We start from the raw sequence: 18,322 nt of genomic DNA, 5'->3' as shown, positions 1-18,322 counted from the left end.
CTGACCTCAAGTGATCTGCCTGTCTTAGCCTCCCAAAGAGCTGGGATTACAGGCATGAGCCACTGTGCCTGGCCTATACCTTTTACACTCAAACATTGCTGCCTGACCCACGAAGACTGTTAAGAAATTTACAGATTGGGCCAGGCACAGTGACTTATGCCTGTAATCCCAACACTCTGTGGGGGCAAGGCGAGTGGATCACTTGAGGTCAGGGGTTTGAGACCAGGCTGGCCAACATGGTGAAACCCCATCTCTACTAAAAATACAACAAATTAGCTGGGTGTTGTGGCACATGCCTGTACTTCCAGCTACTTGGGAGGCTGAGACAGGAGAATCACTTGAACCCGGGAGGTGTAGGTTTCAGTGAGCTGAGATTGTGCCACTGCACTCCAGTCTGGGCGAGACAGCAAGACTTTGTCTCAAAAAAAAAAAAAGCCAAACAAAACAAAAAGTACAGATTGAGTGGGTTTGCGGAGGGCTTCTCGGTGACCTCTGAGCCCCACTTCTCCCTGCGTGCCTGAGCCCCCAGCCCCCGGCTCTGCCCATGAATGCCCTCCCCCAAGAGCCACAAGCTCCAGAATTACCCCTCACCTTGTCCCTTCTCAAAGATCATATGGCTTCAGCACTGCTTAGTGCTGTCTCCCTCTCCCACTGGGAAGAAAACTATGAGGTTAAATTAAATGGAGATCAGCTGCTTGAAATATTTTATACTGAGGCGTGACCTAACCATCATAACATGTTTAAAAATAACAGAGATTTTGCGTTTTACATGTTGTTTTTGTTGAAGGACTTTCTTTTCTGTGTAAATACCACTTTTATAAGCAGATCTCCTATAGCTCTTCCACTTTAAAAAATTGACTTAATTTTTACTCTGTTTTTGTGCCTGGACACTATGATTTTTTATGGTTGTAATAAGAATGCACAGGCTGAATTCTGATTTTTTTCCCACTCAATAGTATATCCAAATATTTTGAGATGTTAGCATTTTTTAAAGATGAGGTTGTCCTAAATGCCTACCAGTAAGGGATTGGTTAGATCAATTTAAAATGGTGACATAAATCTGTATGCAGTGTCATAGAATGATGTCCAAAACATATGGTTATGGTTTTTTTAAAAGCAGCTTACAGAATACCATATTGGTGTGGGCCTTTTTCTGTAAACGTTTGGATGTGTTTTATTTTTATAGAAAAATACCTGTAAGGATGATCATCAAAATAGCACCAGTGTTTTTCTCTGTCGTAGGATTTCAAGTAATTTTACTTTTTTTCTCCACGCTTATATCTGTCTATTCATATATATATATTTGTTTTAATGAAATGCATATTATTTTGATGATCAGAAAAAGGCAATGTTAAAGTGGTTTTGTTTTGGGAATGGAAAAATAGAAAGTTTGGATTAGTGATAAGCCTGCTGCTGGGGGAGAGGTGGTGGGTTGGGGGTAGAAGCCAGGGCACAGGTGGAGGGTGGGGGTGGAAGTGGGAGAGCGAAGAGGGCAGGAGGAGGGGGCTTGACAGCCAAGGGATGCTGGAAAGAGAAGCCCGCACCCTGGATCTTACAGATACCATTCCCATCTAACATAAATCAAAGTGTTACTTTTCAGAAGCCTTTTGAACAGTGACTCAGAAGGTGAAAGTGAGGGTATTAGACCAGTCAGAGAAGGATACAAAAGCATCAAGAAAAACTCAAGTCAGGATTGACTAGAAGTTGGCCAGGCACAGTGGCTCACACTTGTTATCTCAGCACTTCGGGAGGCTGAGGCAGGAGGATCCCTTGAGGCCAGGAGTTCGAGACCAGCCTCGGCATGGTGGCGTGTACCTCAGCTACTGAAGAGGCTGAGGTAGGAGGATCATTTGAGGCTGGGAGGTTGAGGCTGTGGTGAGCTGTGGTTGCACCCCACTGCACTCCAGCCTGGCCCACAGAGCAAGACCCTCTGTTAAAAAAAAAAAAAAAAAAGGATTGACTCTAAGTGGAAATGTAACTTCTTACTTCTAGACATTAACTACACAAGGCACATGGATGAAATGGCCTTTGGTGAAATGGTTGTTGAAATGGTGAAAATTTGAAAAATTTAAACCCCAACACAGTAGCCCATTGCTGCCCCATTGAGAGGCTGTGGAAATAAGTTACCCAGTCAGCTTTTGGGTTTGGGTGAGATCTGTTCACTTTGGTTTTCTTTCTTTCTTTTTTTTTTTTTTTTTTTGAGATGGGGTCTCACTCTGTTGCCCAGGCTGGAGTGCAGTGACATGATATCTGCTCACTGCAACCTCTGCCTCCTGGATTCAAGCGATTCTCTTGCCTCAGCCACCCGAGTAGCTGGGATTACAGACACGCACCACCACGCCTAATTTTGTATTTTTAGTAGAGACAGGTTTTCACCATGTTGGCCAGGCTGGTCTCGAACTCCTGACCTCAGGTGATCCATCTGCCTCTACTTCCCAAAGTGCTGGGATTAGAGGTGGGAGTCACCGCGCCTGGCCCACTTTGGTTTTCAAAACCAAAGTGGGATGCCCTGCCTCCGCATCCCTTCCCAGGGGTGCAGTAAGCAAACAGGCGGTGGGGACAGGGCTGGGTGGTAACATTGAGGGGTTCTGTGAAGTTCTAGGACTTGATTGCCTGGGAGAGCCTCTTGCTCAGGGCTGGTAGGCTGGGGCAGATGGTGTGCTGGGGCGGATGGTGTGCTCAGGGCTGGCAGGTTGGGGTGTCTTCCTGCTGTCCCATGGAAGATGGAGCTGTTGCTGCTGGTGGCTTATCAGCACGTATTTGTTAAGCTTGATTTATGCAAAGGGTAGGGGCAGGAGAACCCAGAAAATGATAAATGACAAAGCAATGATAAAAAACAAGAGGAAGAATGACTAATTGTTATTTATTGAATACCTGTGATGTGCTAGGCCTTGTGCTACATTTGACCTTCTAATCCCACTAGTCCCCTCCATAGTCCTCTTTATGGATTCTATCTCTGTCTACACCAAGCAACTGAACAACTCCATTTCAGAGTTAGTGAGGGCAGAATTGGGATTTTGACACAGGTCTTTCTGAATCCAAAATCTGGGCTCTTAACTATTGTGCTCTACTATCTCTCAACAAAGAGGTACAGGCAGTGAGTGCTTCAGGTGTGAGGAGGAAGCAGCCAAGAGGAGTGATGGTAGAATGGGGAGGAGGAAGGAGGAGGTGAGGCTGGAGCAGGCTCTCAAAGGAAAGCCAAGGCAGATGAACAAATGGAAGGCAGAGCAGATGGCTGGAGTGCAGGCAAGAAAGGACATTCAGAGAATCAAAGAAAGCGGCTACTACACATGCTGCTACACAAGGGTTCCTGGGCCAGATTGCCCTGGGAAATGCTAGGCTGTTTCTTTACTGTTTCTTTATTGCAGGACTTGTCAGAGCCTTCATATAGTATTAATGAGTTACATATTTCTCTACCAAATACATTTGTTGATCTTGGAGAGTATTTAATGGAATAATATCCTTAATATATCCTTTAGGACATCCAGGACTATCATATTAGTTTGGAAAGTTGTGATAATCAAATGTGGAGAGGCAGGGAGGATTAGGAATGCCAGATTAAAGAGTTAGACATTATCCTTTAAGCAGCAGAAGGCAATGGAGGGGCTGTGGTGTGTGCGTGTATGTTTGTGTGTATATGCCTGGCTATTCTAGCTATGGATAGTGGGAGGGGAGGAAGGGGTTTTGAGTCTTGAGGCTGAGGATCCAGTTAGAAGTCTCTCCTACAGGCTGGTGGCAAATGAGAATATGAAGCTCTTAGCAGCATTGGGAGTAGAAATGATGGATTTAATAAAATAGTAAAGGAAAAAGCCAACAAGGGGCTATAAGGAAAGGTGGGGAGTCTTTGACTGCAGCCTGGGACATAGGCAAGTATAGAGCTTTCTCCTGGGCACCAGGTTTGGCATGTTGAACGGGAGTTAATCATGCACTATGTAGGTAAAGATGCAGCCTCCCACCTCCCATCCTGGGGAGAAAGATTTCAGCAGGAAAAGTAGATCTGAGTGTCGCCGGAATAGAAGTGGCTGCTACAGCAGAGATTTCCAAGAAAGCAAGAAGAGCTGAGGCTTGCACTGGGAGCCTGGAAGTGAAGCCGTGTCACAGAAGCATGGGGAAGAATCCGTGGATACAAAGGGACTTCAGAGAACACCCTTAAAACATGAGAACTCTGAGGCCCAGTGAGGTGGATGGGAGCAGCTGGAAGCAGCCCGTCGGGTTTGTGGCTGAGCTGTCAGGGAACAGGTCTCTTGCCTCCTCACTGCACTTTTCTCCCTTCTGCTTCCTCTTAGTAATATATGTACAGCCATTTGAGCTTTACCTATTTGCATGGGCTTCAGTAGAGCTGCAGGTGGCCTTCCTAGCAGGTGTGGCCACCAAGTACCCAACAGATTTCAGTCTGTTCTTGTCTTCGTTGCCTCCTCGGGGTAGTGAAAGGGCTGGGGAGCCTGTTGGTCCTGTCCCAGGGCTGTCCTCTCTGCATCCGTGCCCCCTGGGCTTTGCATGGGGGAGGAGCCTGGAATCTCGCTCTCTTTAAGGCTGGAAGCCAGGATGGCTGCCTGAGACTGCTGGCTATCTGTGCCCTCTCCTCTTGCCAGGGCTCAGTCTGGGGCAGAATGTGGCCCAGGGCCTGCTTGTCAGCACGTGGCTAGGGTTTCCGTGTTAACGTTCCCAAATTGGGATCTCAGAAGATCAAGTGTCCGTGTTGTCTGATCACGCTGAGCCTTCTCGAGCGGCCAGCTGCAAACCTTTCAAAGGGCTGTGTGTAATTGGCTTGGGAGATGCTGTGGGGGACTGAGAAGGGGACAAAGAAGTCAGTTTTTAAAAGGAAAAAAATAAATGAACATAACAGTCTTGGGCCAGTTGGGTGGGGCATGGTGCTTGGGCACATTGAAACCCCTTCCTCTTCCCTTCCTATTTTTCCACTTCCAGAGGCCCCTTTGGCTAGCGCCGTACTGACCCCTGCAGACCCCCTCTGTGTAAATACAGCCTCTGTCTCCCACCCACTTCTTCATTATGCATTCCTTTAATCTGACCCATCTCCAGGTTGCCAGCTGGCAGAGACTCAGCAGATTCCAAACCCCAGCTGGTGCCAGAGTGTTTACACGGGCCAGGGAAGCTTGGCAGACAACCTGCCCCCAAGCTACTCAGCTGTAGGAAAAGGTAGAAAGACTCCTGGAGATAAGTGGCCCGTTTGTTTGCAGACTTTCTCTCCTCCCTCATTCACCCTCCCCTGCATGCCCACCCTCACTCCAGTTGCTGCTCTATCCTGAAAACGTTAGAAAGAATCCCTTTGTGAAAGGGAGGTAAATGGCTAGGGACTAGCAGCGTAATCCCTACATCCAAGCAACCCTGTGTGGCACTCTGAGCACATAAAGGTAAAAGATCCTTTGCCTTCCGGGCTGAAACAGATCAGATATTAATTAGGAGACATTATTGGTTAGTGTAGAGCCAGTCCCCATTCATAACGGATATGTTTTTCCAAAATAATAAAGCTATGTGATCGAGTGTTCATGAAGCCAGGACTCATATTTGTCACTGCAGCCTGAGGCCAGTGGTGTCCTCAAAATCCTATATTCACCTCCTCCTGCCTCAGTAAAGGCCCCCTTGAAAAACTCAGGCAGGAAACTGTTCGTCCACCACAGTGGTTTATCTTGATCTGAGTTTGTGAGAAGCCAGTCCCAGGGTGTCATGCCTAAAGAAAACCATTTCTGAAGTGGGTTATCAACACTGTTGGTCCTTTGGAAATTAGATGGCCCATAAAGAGTGGCGATTTGTCTGCCTCCCATGCGTTTCATGAGGGGTAGTACCAGGATGTGTGTGGAGGATAATTTTGCTGGTTTAAAGTGTCCTATTCGGTTGGGCATGGTGGCACACTCCTGTAATCCCAGCACTTTGGGAGGCCAAGGCAGGTGGGAGGCCAAGGCAGGTGGATCTCTTGAGGCCAGGAGTTCAAGAACAGCCTGGCCAACATGATGAAACCCCATCTCTACTAAAAGTACAAAAATTAGCCGGGTGTGGTGGTGCATTCCTGTAATCCTAGCTATTCGGGAGGCTGAGGCAGGAGAATCACGTGAGCCTGGGAGGCAGAGGCTGCAGTGAACTAAGATCTTGCCACTGCACTCCAGTCTGGATGACGGGAGTGAAACCCTGTCGCAAAAAAAATAAAAATAAAAAATAAAAATAGTGTCCCATTGCCAGCAGTTACGTTGATGAGGTTAATTATTATCATATGGTGTTAGTATTCTTTTATTTGAGTAGCATATCTCCATCAGTCAGAGTCCCAACAGGAAACAGGTGGGGTAATTGAGGAATGGTTATGTAGGCACTATTAACAAGGGCGTGGACTGGCTCAGGGGAAACAGATAAGGAACAGTAAAGCATTCTAAGGCTTGCGAACGTGGGGAGCTATCCCTAAGCTTGAAGGGGCTGAGGATAGCATGGATCTAGAACTAAGAAGGAAGGGAGAGAGGAAATACCATTGAGAGCTGTGGTTGAAGGGGAGGGGCTGGAGTTTTGGTGGAGGGTTGCAGTGACTGCCAGAACTGTCCAGCAGGAAAGGAGCCAGGTGATGAATACCCCTTTCATGCTCTCTCATGTTCTGCAGATTCCATCGGAAGCCCACTGAAGTACTCCATAAAGGTGAAGCTGTCTGTTCTGGGACACAGGGTAGGATGGAGCATTGTGCAGCCCAGTAGAACTTACAGATGCTATTCTGCCTTCTGTTTGACTCCTACCTCATATATGACAACAGGCAATCAAAGGGTGGCAAAGCTAAACTGATGTCCCTGAAATACTACCATCTCTGAGAATAGGACTTTTGGACAGACGTTTCCTGATTGTAATAAGCCAAATAGTGCAACACATCTAACTTTAAGCTACTCTTGCCCTGATTTCTGGTGAGATTTAGAATCACCATTGCTTCTTAAAGTGATGGCGCATTAAATGCTTCCACTTCCATCTTTTGGCTGGTTCAGATAATACTCAAGCACCACTTAAACCCATTTCCTTCTCTTGCCCCAGTGATTTGCACCCTAGCCCTCAGGGACCAAGAGGAGTTTCTGGTGCAGCATAAATGGAATTCTAATCACCGTGTCTAATTACTACTAGTCTTTGAGTATCTGTATCCAACAGGAAATGGCTTTCTTGACTGTTTCACATGCAGGAGCTTGGACTCCCGTATTTGTTAGGTAACTGATGAAATTTAATTGTTTAATTATGAAATATGAGATGGTTTTTTAGAGTTTTGTGGCTGAAGAGACTTTCAAATTTTATGTTACGATGTTGCCTCCTTTATACTTTGAGGGAGACAATCATTTCTTTATCTTGGCTTGAATCATTGTGGGAAGCAAAGCTTTGAAATGCGCACCATGCTGGAATAGATGGTATCCCCACTGATGAACTCAGGAGACAGACAGTTGATTTTGGGCAGCTTTTGGAAGGAAGGGAGGGAGGGAGGGAAGGAGGGAAGGGAGGGAAGGAGGGAAGGAAGGGAAGGAAAGCTTTAAGGGGTCTGAGGGCCAGATATCGTTTCTTCCATTTTAGACTAGTTCATTTGAAACAAATGGGCACAGCTGAGATCTGAAGTTGGACCACACGGTGGACAGCCCCCGTAAAGCCGTTATGACTATCCTAAGCTAAACCATTGTATCTCTAGGCCTTCTCCAGTCCTTTCTCAGTGCCATCATGATTCTGTTCTAACCCTCACCTGCCCCCTTTTATCCACTTTCTGTACATGTTTCTGGCTCAAATCACCGCCTCGCAGAAATCTTCTCAGAGAAGGTCCAGAAATCTCCAAACCCAGGGCACTAACAGATGTTTTTTGGGTCTCTCCTTTGTGCCAAGAACACTGTGGGTATGGAGATAAATAAAGACATGGTCTTTGCCCTGGAGAAAGCAAAGGAGCTTCCACTTGCCCTTTGCCTAACGCTGTCCTGATCTATGACATCTCTTGTCTTAAAATGAACCCTTTATGCATCAAGGTCTCATTTTGATCATTAGATCTTAGGCACATCGTTCAGGTAGCATGGTGATTAACAGTCCAGATGTCACGGTCAGATGGATCTTGGATTCTAGTCCCGCTTCTGGGGCTTATTAACTGTGTGCCTTGGGGCGTGTTGCTTAAGCTTTTTGGGCCTCACTTTTCTGCACATTAGGGCCTCTGGGAGCATTAAGTGAGATCATTTCTGTAAGTGTTCAGAGCAGTTCCTGGCAGGTGATAGAAGTTCAGTGAATAGTAGTAATGTAGCAGTTCCTTATAGAGTTGGAGGTTAGATGAGGTAATCCTGTTTGGCGTTTAGCACAGTGCCTGGCATTTCATAAGATCTCACACGTTAGATGTCATTGTCGCTCCTTGCAGGGTTGCTGAGGATTATTTGATGTGATTGTGTAAAATGCCTTTACCTTGCCTGGCTTGCAGTAAATATTCAAAGAAGAGTGGTTGGTTTTATCGTCTTCGTGATAATGGAGTTGGAGTAGATAGATGTATAGCCTGACTCTGGATTCTGGTCCTGAGCCTTTGAGAGAAGGAAGCGGGTCTCGTAATTGCTTTCATCTCCAGTAGCATTGTGCCTTGCCCAGAGCATGTGCTCAATATTTTGTGATTGAAGAATTGATTTTTAAAAATGTTTATATTTTGTTTTGTAGGGACAGTGCTAAACAAAGACATATTACTAGGGTGTGAAAGTGCCTTACCAGCCAGCTTTGTGCACATGAACATAAGCACACAAACACACCATACTTCTAATGCTTTCCATGACATATCTGTTTAGAAAACCCTGTGTGGCCATTGTCAGATCTGGAATTGCCCCATGGTTATGGCAGCAGTCACTGTGGCTGTAGAGTGTGAATATGGATCCTGGCCCATGGCCAGGTGCTTATCTGCATATCTGTGGGTTCTGATTCTGAACTCTGTCAGTCCAGCCGACGCAATAAAGGCTGACAGGCTGAGAGGAGACCGGAGGCCTCCCGTGGCCCTCCACCCCTTTGGCACCCTGACAGTTCTCCCCCTGGGAACGTGCAGAACAGTCATCCCTTGTAAATCCATCTAGGTGGCCCTGCCTGTCCCTCTAGAGAAATGAATGAAAGTAAAGTCACAGCTGCTGAGAGTGGCAGTGTAGCATCGGTTCAAAAGAATTGATTAAATAGCAGAAAATTTCCCAGCCCCTTTGCGAATATAGTGGAGGAAGGATGTTCATTTTGTTTTTGCCTCTCTCCCCTCTAGCTCCTCTGAAAGTACATTAATTCATGGGGTGTTTATTGAGCGTCTTCTCCATAGCTGGTGTGTGTATCAAGACAAGGTGTCCGAACTGCACAAGCAGCAGGGGTCTTGGGGAACTGAGAAAGGGCGTGGTCTTAACAAAAGCTGCCCAGGCCCAGTGCACCCTCTTGGGCATCCCTCTCTGCAGCACTGGATCTCAGTTCCTGAAGAAATACCCGTTGGATTGGTGTAATTCCCAGGAGATCATCCTCTCTAGGCCCCCTTGTTTTTCTGCATGTCCAACCACATTTCTCTCCATGGTCCTTCTTGTCACCACACGTGGTCTAAGCTTCTCCCGCACCTCCCTGACTGTCCACTCCTCTCTAGCTCCCGAGCTCTTTGCTTTCCTTCAGAGTTGAGCTGCTAGACCGAGCAGTCCACACTTCTGTCTCCACACTCCCACTCCATGCTCACCCATACACACCAGCTCTGCCCCTCCTTTCCTCCAGCTTTGGCAGCATTTACCAGTGACCTCTGGTTTACAAATCTGATGGACACTTCACACATTCATTACATAAATATTTATTAATCCCCACTATGTGCCAAGCGCTGTTGTAGGCACTTGGGACCCATCAGAAAACAAAACAAAAACCTGGTCACGGGCTGCTCACATTTCAGTCCTGAGTTGACTGGTCCTCCCTGGGGCATCTGCAGGTGTGCAGCTGACTCCTTACAATGGTCTCCTGCCTGGGCTGCTGGGCTCCTTCTGGGTTTCCTCTGGCCCCTCTGACTGTGCCTTCTCAGCGCCCTTCTCCCCTCTCACACCCCCAGCCATCCACAACACCCTGTGAATATCTGTCATCACCCCTAGCACATTTTATTTAAATTGGACATTTGTGTGTCTGTTTCCTGAACAAGACCTGAGCACCACTTTTGGCCATTCCCTCACCTTAATTAATTGTGCCATCAAGTCTTTTGAAAATTGCCTAGCACCACCCCAGGTCTGTTGCCACTACCTAAGTCCAGGCCTGGATGATCTCTTCTTGCAGTAACCTAAGTCTCTGTGCTGCCTAGCTCACCTCCCGTCTCCAGCCCTTTCTCTACACTGTGAGAAGAATGAGATTTGTGCAATGGAAATCACCTTGGGTTGTCCCCTGCTTGAAAACCATCAGTGGCTACCTCTCATGTGTAGGATGAAGTTCTATTTTTATATCTGCTGCTGTAAAGGGTCCTTCATAGGACCTGCCTTCTGCCAACCTTCCAGCCTCACTACCATCCATACACAGGCCCCTCATTTTCCCAGGGAGTCACATTTCTCCCTTCTCTCTGCTTTAGTGCATGCAGTTCCCTCAGCCTGTAGCACCCTTCCTGCCTCCTGTTTGCCTCTTCAGCCCTTCAGAGTGCAGATCAGGTAGAACGTTGCTGGTGAAGTTTTCCCTGGGGTGGGGCAGCCTCAGTTCTCACAGTCAGGAGCCTCTCCATCCTGAACCGCCTGTACTTGCCCTGTGAGAATGATGATTCTGTTGTGTTGTAAATGACTTTTTTGCATACTGATTTATCTGTCTGGGCTGCACATTTGAGCGGTGGTACCATTCCTACCTGGGATGGTGGTGCTGGGTGTGGGGTTGGAGCAAAATTCCTGAGTGTGGGAGTGGGGGCAAAACATGAAAAGCAAGGTAGGGCCACCTTGGAGTTGGAATGTCAGCATAGGTCCTGATTCTCTCCTGAGCAATAGGGAGCCATGGAGGACTATGGAACAGGGCCTGTGGAATTTTAAGATGGATCTGTTGTCTTTTCCGGAGCTTGGTCAGAGGGAGATGGCAGAAACAGCACTTGGGGTTGGTTCTTCCAGCTGCCCTTGGCAAGGCCATGGCCTTGGTTCCTTGTGTGGCCTTGGGTATGTGTGCAATAGGTGGGGGTGGGGTTCATAGCAGTGACTAGGAGAATGAAGGAAGAGAACCATGCTCCCAATTCCTCCCCTACTCCTGCAAGGCCTTGGCAGGAGAGCTGCTTTCCTCTTTCCTTCTCTTTGTGTGTGTCCGCCCCTTCTTATGCTCTTACCCTGTGATTTTCTTACAGAGAGATTATCTGTGCTTCTTGGCAAAAGCTTAAGGTCATTCGTGTCCCAGGCAGTTCCTGTCCCTTCTTGTAGCCCCCTGAAAGAGACTTACTTAATGGGCCTCGGGTGGGGGACACCTGGCCTCCTGGACCTTGCTCCAAGGCCTGCATTCAGCCCCAAGTGGGGTTTTGCACATTGAGCCATGGCCGAGGGTGTCTGATGCCTCCTGTCAACCTCTGAGACCCAGCTGTGAGTTCAGATGGGGGTCCAGCCTCTCCGTCTAATTTTTGGTTTTCTTCCTGGGCCACCTTTGCCCTGCATGAAGTCACCATCAGATTCCTGGGATGCTAGAGCTTGGAATGGAGACTAGCCTAGCAGGACTGAGAAAAAATCCCCAAGTCTTTTTATATTTTAGTTAAAACCCACTTTCAAGTTAGTCTAATGAGATTTTATACGTATATAACTGTGTATGTGAGAGAGAAACCTTGGGATATGGTATTTAAATATTGACATTTGCCCAGGCTTTGTTTATTTGGCTTAGGGGTATGCGGAGACTGGTTTGTGGCAAAGTGTGGGGAGTGTTTACCTGAGGCCCTGCCTTTGGTGTTATATTTGTATCTCCTGTTCATCTGTAGCACATTTTCCTGGGAACTCTTGCCTTTTATGTTGTTATTTTCCTTCTCCACTTTGAAGATGATTCTGAATATCCCCTTGTGAATATTATTTGCTGACAAACAGAGACATTTGAGTGCTGGATGTTTTTCATTAATGTTCTTGGCCTTGGTTTAAGACGCTGGAATCAAATCATCATCATGAAGTTCTGCTTATCGGGTTCCCTCACGTAGGTGGTCATTGGCCGGTCTTTGTAGACTCGAGCAAGATGGACTCAAACGCCAGTGCCGAGTGTGTTAGGATGCATTTCCCACAGGAGGAGGATGCACTGCTGTAACAGAGAGTGACAGGAAACCAAGGTGATTCAGAAGTGAGACACACATAGCAGAGGTCCCCAGCCTGACCTTGACTTCTAAAGCTACTGGAATGGTACCATGGCCAACTCCTTGGGACCCCTCATTTAAGCTCTTTTACTGACACACTCCTCCATGGAGTAGGGGTAGTATGGAAACTAGGACACAGAGATCACACATCTAACATTTAAAAAACTCATATTTTCACTTTCCGGCCTCAGTTTGCTTAGTTTAATGATAGGCGGAGGTTGACATCCAGGGTCAAGGCCTGTCTTTATGTGCCCCTACACAAATACCCAGAGGAATTTGAAGGCTTCCTGTGAGAATTGGCCTGCAGCCCTGCTGACGGGCCTGGTTTATGGCCCCCGGAGATGGCTTCACCCTGCTCCATCGCTGTGTGAACTCATGGTTCATTTTCTTAGCAGGCTCTAATCCACGTGCCTAGCTCTTCAGTCAAAATGTGGGGGTCAACATGCTGATGTTTGAAACTTTCAAGGTGGTGGAGAATAATTTGAAATGGTTGCAGCAGGTCACTGTCTGCCAACTCTGGCTTTCTCTAAGAGCAAACAAGCAAATGAAGGCAAATATACCTGGGTCCTGCCTGGTCCAGCTACCCTGAGTATGTGGAGACCTTGAATAATCCTTTTATTTCCCTGAATACCAGGAAATGCCAGAAGTTCCTTGGGGATGATTCTCCCTGGCACCCACTCTTGTTGCTTGCTGAAGATTAGTGACAGACAGGATGTCGCAGACACATCTATACTGATTAGAATGACCCTCCTCTCTTTTTGCTTTCTGTCTTACGGAGCGAAAACATCTTTAAAAACTACAGCTGAAATGACACTGTGCTACACCGGTGAGGGGTTTCTTTTCTGTAGTCAAGTCTAAAATATTACCTAATCTGAACTCTCCAAAAATAACTCACAACCTAAAATTTTTCACTCCATAATCCTTTCTTTTTTATGTTATTATTTTTAATGTATCAATGATACTGCATCAGAACAGGTGGCTTTTGGCCAAAAGTAAAAACATTTTGTTCTGACCAATGTGTGTTTTACTCATATCCAAACACAACCAGTAATATGAACTCTGCCCCATGATGCAGGAGAAATAAATATTAAGAATGTCACTATTCTGGAAAATTATTTTGCCTGAGCATTTAAAATTTTTTATGTAGTTTTTAGCTTCCATAAGGAATGGTTTATGAGTATGCTATGCTATCCAGATAAGGGGAAAAGCTACTTGGTGGGGGCAGGTGGGTGTGAGTGAGAGTGAAGTATATAATCAAGTGGTAAGTATTAGAAATACCTAGTCAGTGCTTTTTTTTAGGGGAGGATGAGAATATATATATTAAGGCTCTCAAAGAAGTAATACATTTACTTCAGCAAATTCGTATGTTTTATATAAGGCTATCTATAAAGCACGTAGAAGGCCAAGTTCAAGCTATACCAGCATAAATTGCATAAATACACAGTCTTCTTAAAGTTATAATTAACTTGTGGATATAAAGGCAGTGGGGAAGGGCTTTCCCTAGGCCACCCTCTGTTTTTCAGTACCCGATTAATTTCCCAAATTGGGGATGTATATTATGGCAAGTTCAAGCTTTATTCTCTTTTTTAAAAAGCCCAACTTCAAAGATTTTTTAAACCCTTTATTGTGACTCTTTCTACATTCCTCTGTATCCCAATATAAAGTTTAGACTTTTAAATCAATGACTGTAACAAACCAAGTAATATAATTTTATTGTGGCTATTCAAATTTCGAGTTTTTTTCATAAATACACAATGTCACTTTTAATCTAAAACTGCTATCAAAACTGTTAATAGTGAGTCTATTCAACATCGTGATCACAGGCTTGTAGAGAATCTGTTGTGTGCGTGTTTGTTTAGCTTTGCCTGATTTTTGTATCAAGGCAGTTTTTCAGGTGAAAAACCAGAATCTCTAGGCGTTGCTAAAAGCCACACAGAAAGGTACTGTCATAACTCTGCCCCCTGTGATTCAGGCGCTCAGCCCTCACAGACAGCCTCTGGCCCTTCAAAACGGAGATTTTCAGAAAGCACAAGTGAAAAGCATCTTTGTTTCAGCTGTATCTGCCTTTTATCGAGCAGTGGAGGGGCTGCAAACCCACGTCCATCACACCCCGACCACATACCTGGCGCATGCAGGTGATCAGTGGGCTTGGGACATAAACACTCCAGGAAAAAAGGCTAAAAGACTATTTTTTTTAAAAAAAAAAAAAACCCAAAAATCTCTTCCCCACCAATTGGGCGTAACTTTCCAAGGTTTTCTTGTCTGCCTGAAATTTTCCTATTCACTTCCTCCGCAGAAAGATGCAAAATCAATCTGGGGAAAGCCTTAGTGAAGACCCTTTGGCTTCCAAAAACAGGCCGAGCTGGGAGAAGAAGGGAAGTTTTAGGTACCTAATTTCCCAGCCTCAGCAGGACCTGTCACTTGGCTTTACCCTGTGTTTCTCAGGAAGAAAAAATGAGGGTCCTCACTGTCAGTCGTGGGACATATGTGTCTCTGTGTTTTGTCCTTTAGGTGGGAGGTGTGGTGTCCGTGGGACAGAAGTCATTAAGAGCAGAGCTGCTCCTGTAAAATAAGGCCTTCTGTACCCTGTCTGCCCCCGGGGGCTGGTCTGCCCACACAGCCCCTTCCAAGTGCCAATGCATGGATGTGTCTGCCAAAAAAAAAAAAAACAGAATAAACTGAACCAAAGGATTTAATACTTTAAAAGAGAAGCCATGAAACTGCTTTCATCACAGTTCTTCTCTTTTATCTTTGGTGACCAGCTAACAACTTGCAGTGAAAGGAGAACCTATCTGGGCATCTGGAAGCCTAGGTGTACCCAGTGCCTGTGGCTGGCAGGTGGTGGATTAACCCGAGAGGCCTTATTTTCTTGCTCTGTCAGACATAGGTGATACCCAGACCTTATCTTCACAAAGTGAAGAAGCAACAATATATTTTAAACTTCTGGAAAGACCTCTTAGAAAGTTTGTCAGTGTAAGGTTGCGTTTTGGGCATTGGAAAGTAAGTAGAATCAGGTAAAGTTTACCTTTTCGAGCTGAGGGTGAGAAGGACCTTTAAGGACATTCGTTCTGAGCTGCTCCTTTGGCTTTATCCTTCCCGTGCTTATCTGTGAAATGGGGACATGATTAGTACCTATCTTGTAGGGTCATTGTGGGGATGACATGAGATAGATTTATGTGAAGCCCTTGGACTCATGCATGGCACCAAATAAGCACTCGATAACATTAACTGTTGTTGTCGTTATTAATAGATGAGTAAACTGGGGTCTAGAGAGGTGAAATGTCCTGCCCAAGGTCACCCAGCTGGCCCACAGCAGACTTGGGACTGGAATCCACATCCACTATGCTTAGCTGGAAGCAGCTATTTCACCAGCATCCTTGGTCTAGTTGCAGCCAAGAGCTCAGGTTCATGTGCCCCTAATACAGCATGGCATGTGAAACAGTTTTGGTTTGTTATGGCTACACAAGCATGCTCAAGGCCTTTGCCTTTGTGTTTGATGCCCTGTTTTAGTTAAAAATTTAATGAAACTTTCTCTCTTTCTCACTCTCTCTTTCTCTCTGTGTATATGTGTGTGTGTGATGTGACCCTTCCTACATAATTCAGTGTTCTCCTTTTACATTAGTGTATTAGCACGTTGTCACTTTTAACCTTTTACCCACTGAGCTTGGCATTTAAAATGCTATTAAACTCAATAATGTTTCCTATAAACAGCCTTAGAGGGATGAGAAATAATTGGAATGACATTTTTAATAGGCTCCTGGTTCTCAGCCCTGTGTGCTACAGGAACTCAGCTGGTGCTTGCGGAGAGGGACTTGTTAGTGGTTTCATCCCTAGTCTGAGGTCGGGAGAGGGTCATGGAGTGAAGACTTGGGGTGCTAAAGGACCTTTTAAGGCACAGAAGAAGGCTGAAGAAGTAAGTCTGCTCTTGACTAGTGCTTTTTGCTTTTTTAATGGATGGATGTGGTCAATCTAGAAGCTGATCACTCCTTCAGGTGGCTGCAGAAAAGCTTGGAGCCAAATTTCTGGCCACCTTTAGCCAATGAGTAGGACTTCCTGGAATGCATTTTTGTGGATCAGCCTCATTCCTTGCTTCTTTTCTTTGCCTAAAATGCATATTTTTTGTGTTCTTTCCTGCTTCCATTTTACATTACCATTCTATTCTATGTGCAGTATTGTGTGCCTCCTAAGTTTGTTTTTGGGACAAGGTTTTTAAAAAATCAAGTTGAATGTTGCCTTTTCTGCTTGTATAGTTGTGAGGTCTCGGGAGGCTACTTTATCTCTCTGTGCCCCAAATTTGGCTTTTTCATCTATAAACCAGGGAAACTGACACCATCTTGTTGAGATATGGTAATGTGGGAGCAAGCATGGCTGTTTACAGAGAAAGTTGCACTTTTTAGAATGGTTTCTGCTGCTACTACCAGGGGGGCTAGGGATGGAAAAATACTGGGATCTAGTATTTTTGTCATGATTATGGCCGTAGATCCTGTTCTCTCAGAATCATGTTCAGAAAACATGTTAAGCATTCATCTGTAGTCACTAAATATTATAGCTGCTTACAGTATGAGTTTGTCAAATAGGAATTTATGAGAAACCTACTATTCACCCAGCTCTGGGACAGACCGAGAGAGAGAAGACATACAGAGAAGAATAATCGTGGACAGATGACAGGATGAGGGTCAGATAGCTGAGCACAGCACCGACTCTCTCCTGCTTAGTCACTGTGTTCATTTAAGCATTTGCTGAGTGCCGCTCTGTTCTGGGGCAGTTTGAAGCCATCCATGGATGTGCACCTCAAACAAGGCAAGTCAGATCATCAAGGCAGGTCAGATCCCCACGCTCCTACAGCTTATGTTTCCCCAAGGAAGAGACAGTTTAAAAATAAAGATAAATGCTTTAGAGCTGTACACTTAAAATGGGTGATTTTTTTTTTTTGTTGTGTAAATTATACCTGAATACAGTTGTTAAAAAAGAAAAAAAATCTTGGCCCTCATGGTGCTGACGTTCAGGTTTTCCCTGATACGTTTGATCCTTATTATTTGTGGATTTTGTTTTTGCAAATTCGCTTACTTGCTGAGATTTATTTGTAACCCCCAAATCAGCTTCTTTGGTCATTCACAGAGATGTGCAGAGCTGCAAACACTTTTGGGTTGCCCAACACTCACATTCCCAGTTGAGGCCAAACAAGGCGACACTCTGCCTCCAGTTCCGGCTCTCATCCTGTAGACAGATGTCCTTTTCGTAGTCTCTTTAGTGCCACATTTTTTGCATTTTTCTGCTGCTTTTTGGTGATTTCACTATTTAAAAATGGCCCCCAACTGTCATGCAGAAGTGCTGTCTAGCATCCTAAGCGTAGGATGACTATGATGTGCCTCATGGAGATAGCATATGTGGTTAGACAAGCTTTATTCTGGCATGAGTTATGGCGCTGTTGGCCATGAATTCAATGTTAATGAATCAACAATATATGTTAAATTAGGTGTCTTTAAACAGAAACACACATAAAACAAGGTTATGAATTGATCTGTTGACAAAAATGGGACCAGAGGCTTGCAGGAACCTAACCCTGTATTTCTCCCAGGAACAAGGTTTCAGTGTTCACTAATTCAGTGTTTGCAGTGACTTGAGAGAACATAATTCATGTGAATGATGACAGTTAACTGTATATGTTGGGTGAGGGCAAGAATATATGTAGAGCCCACATACCAGATGTCTATCTTCCTTTAAAAAAAATGCAAAAGTTCTCAGACTTGGCAGCGCATTGGAATGCTCTGGGGAGTTTGACAAAATGCCCATGCCCCAAAGAGTCTGGTTTAATTGGCTGGGGTGTGGCTCAGGCACAGAGATTTTAGAAGCTCCCCCAGGGATTCTAATGTGCAGCCGGAGTTGAACACCAGTGCTCTTCCCATTGAATGATAATGTGTCCTAGAAGTGGACCCTGGCCAACTGAAGGAGGCTCTGTGGGGGCCAGCAGCACCTCCTCATACCCGCCCAAGACCCAGAGCCCAGGGCAGGGTGTCCGGTTGGCCCAGCTCCTGCCCTGAGGAGAGGGTCTATCCCCTCCATCCTCCCATCCCC

At 45.6% G+C, this 18,322-nt stretch overlaps 1 protein-coding gene across 1 annotated transcript in view, besides 3 other annotated features; it reads left to right on the top strand.

Moving 5' to 3' along the window:
* TRAM2 (translocation associated membrane protein 2) overlaps nt 1–18,322 on the top strand; it is a 79,653-nt gene that overhangs the window by 20,341 nt on the left and 40,990 nt on the right. The gene's annotated exons all lie outside the window — the stretch shown is intronic.
* Nucleotides 4,334–4,503: an enhancer, noted in NCBI's record as "experimental_92132 CRE fragment used in MPRA reporter constructs". NCBI's record gives its function as "activates a minimal promoter by MPRAs in K562 erythroleukemia cells, with activity observed for the non-introgressed 6:52417100 variant allele {active_cell/tissue: K562}" and the evidence as "EXISTENCE:reporter gene assay evidence [ECO:0000049][PMID:34662402]".
* Nucleotides 10,372–10,421: an enhancer, noted in NCBI's record as "active region_24685". NCBI's record gives its function as "activates an Ori minimal core promoter by ATAC-STARR-seq in GM12878 lymphoblastoid cells {active_cell/tissue: GM12878}" and the evidence as "EXISTENCE:reporter gene assay evidence [ECO:0000049][PMID:35858748]".
* Nucleotides 10,472–10,651: an enhancer, noted in NCBI's record as "active region_24684". NCBI's record gives its function as "activates an Ori minimal core promoter by ATAC-STARR-seq in GM12878 lymphoblastoid cells {active_cell/tissue: GM12878}" and the evidence as "EXISTENCE:reporter gene assay evidence [ECO:0000049][PMID:35858748]".

The sequence above is a fragment of the Homo sapiens genome, chromosome 6 (genome assembly GCF_000001405.40).
Source record: "Homo sapiens chromosome 6, GRCh38.p14 Primary Assembly".
NCBI lineage: Eukaryota > Metazoa > Chordata > Mammalia > Primates > Hominidae > Homo > Homo sapiens.
This window is presented reverse-complemented; position numbering and strand designations above follow the sequence as displayed.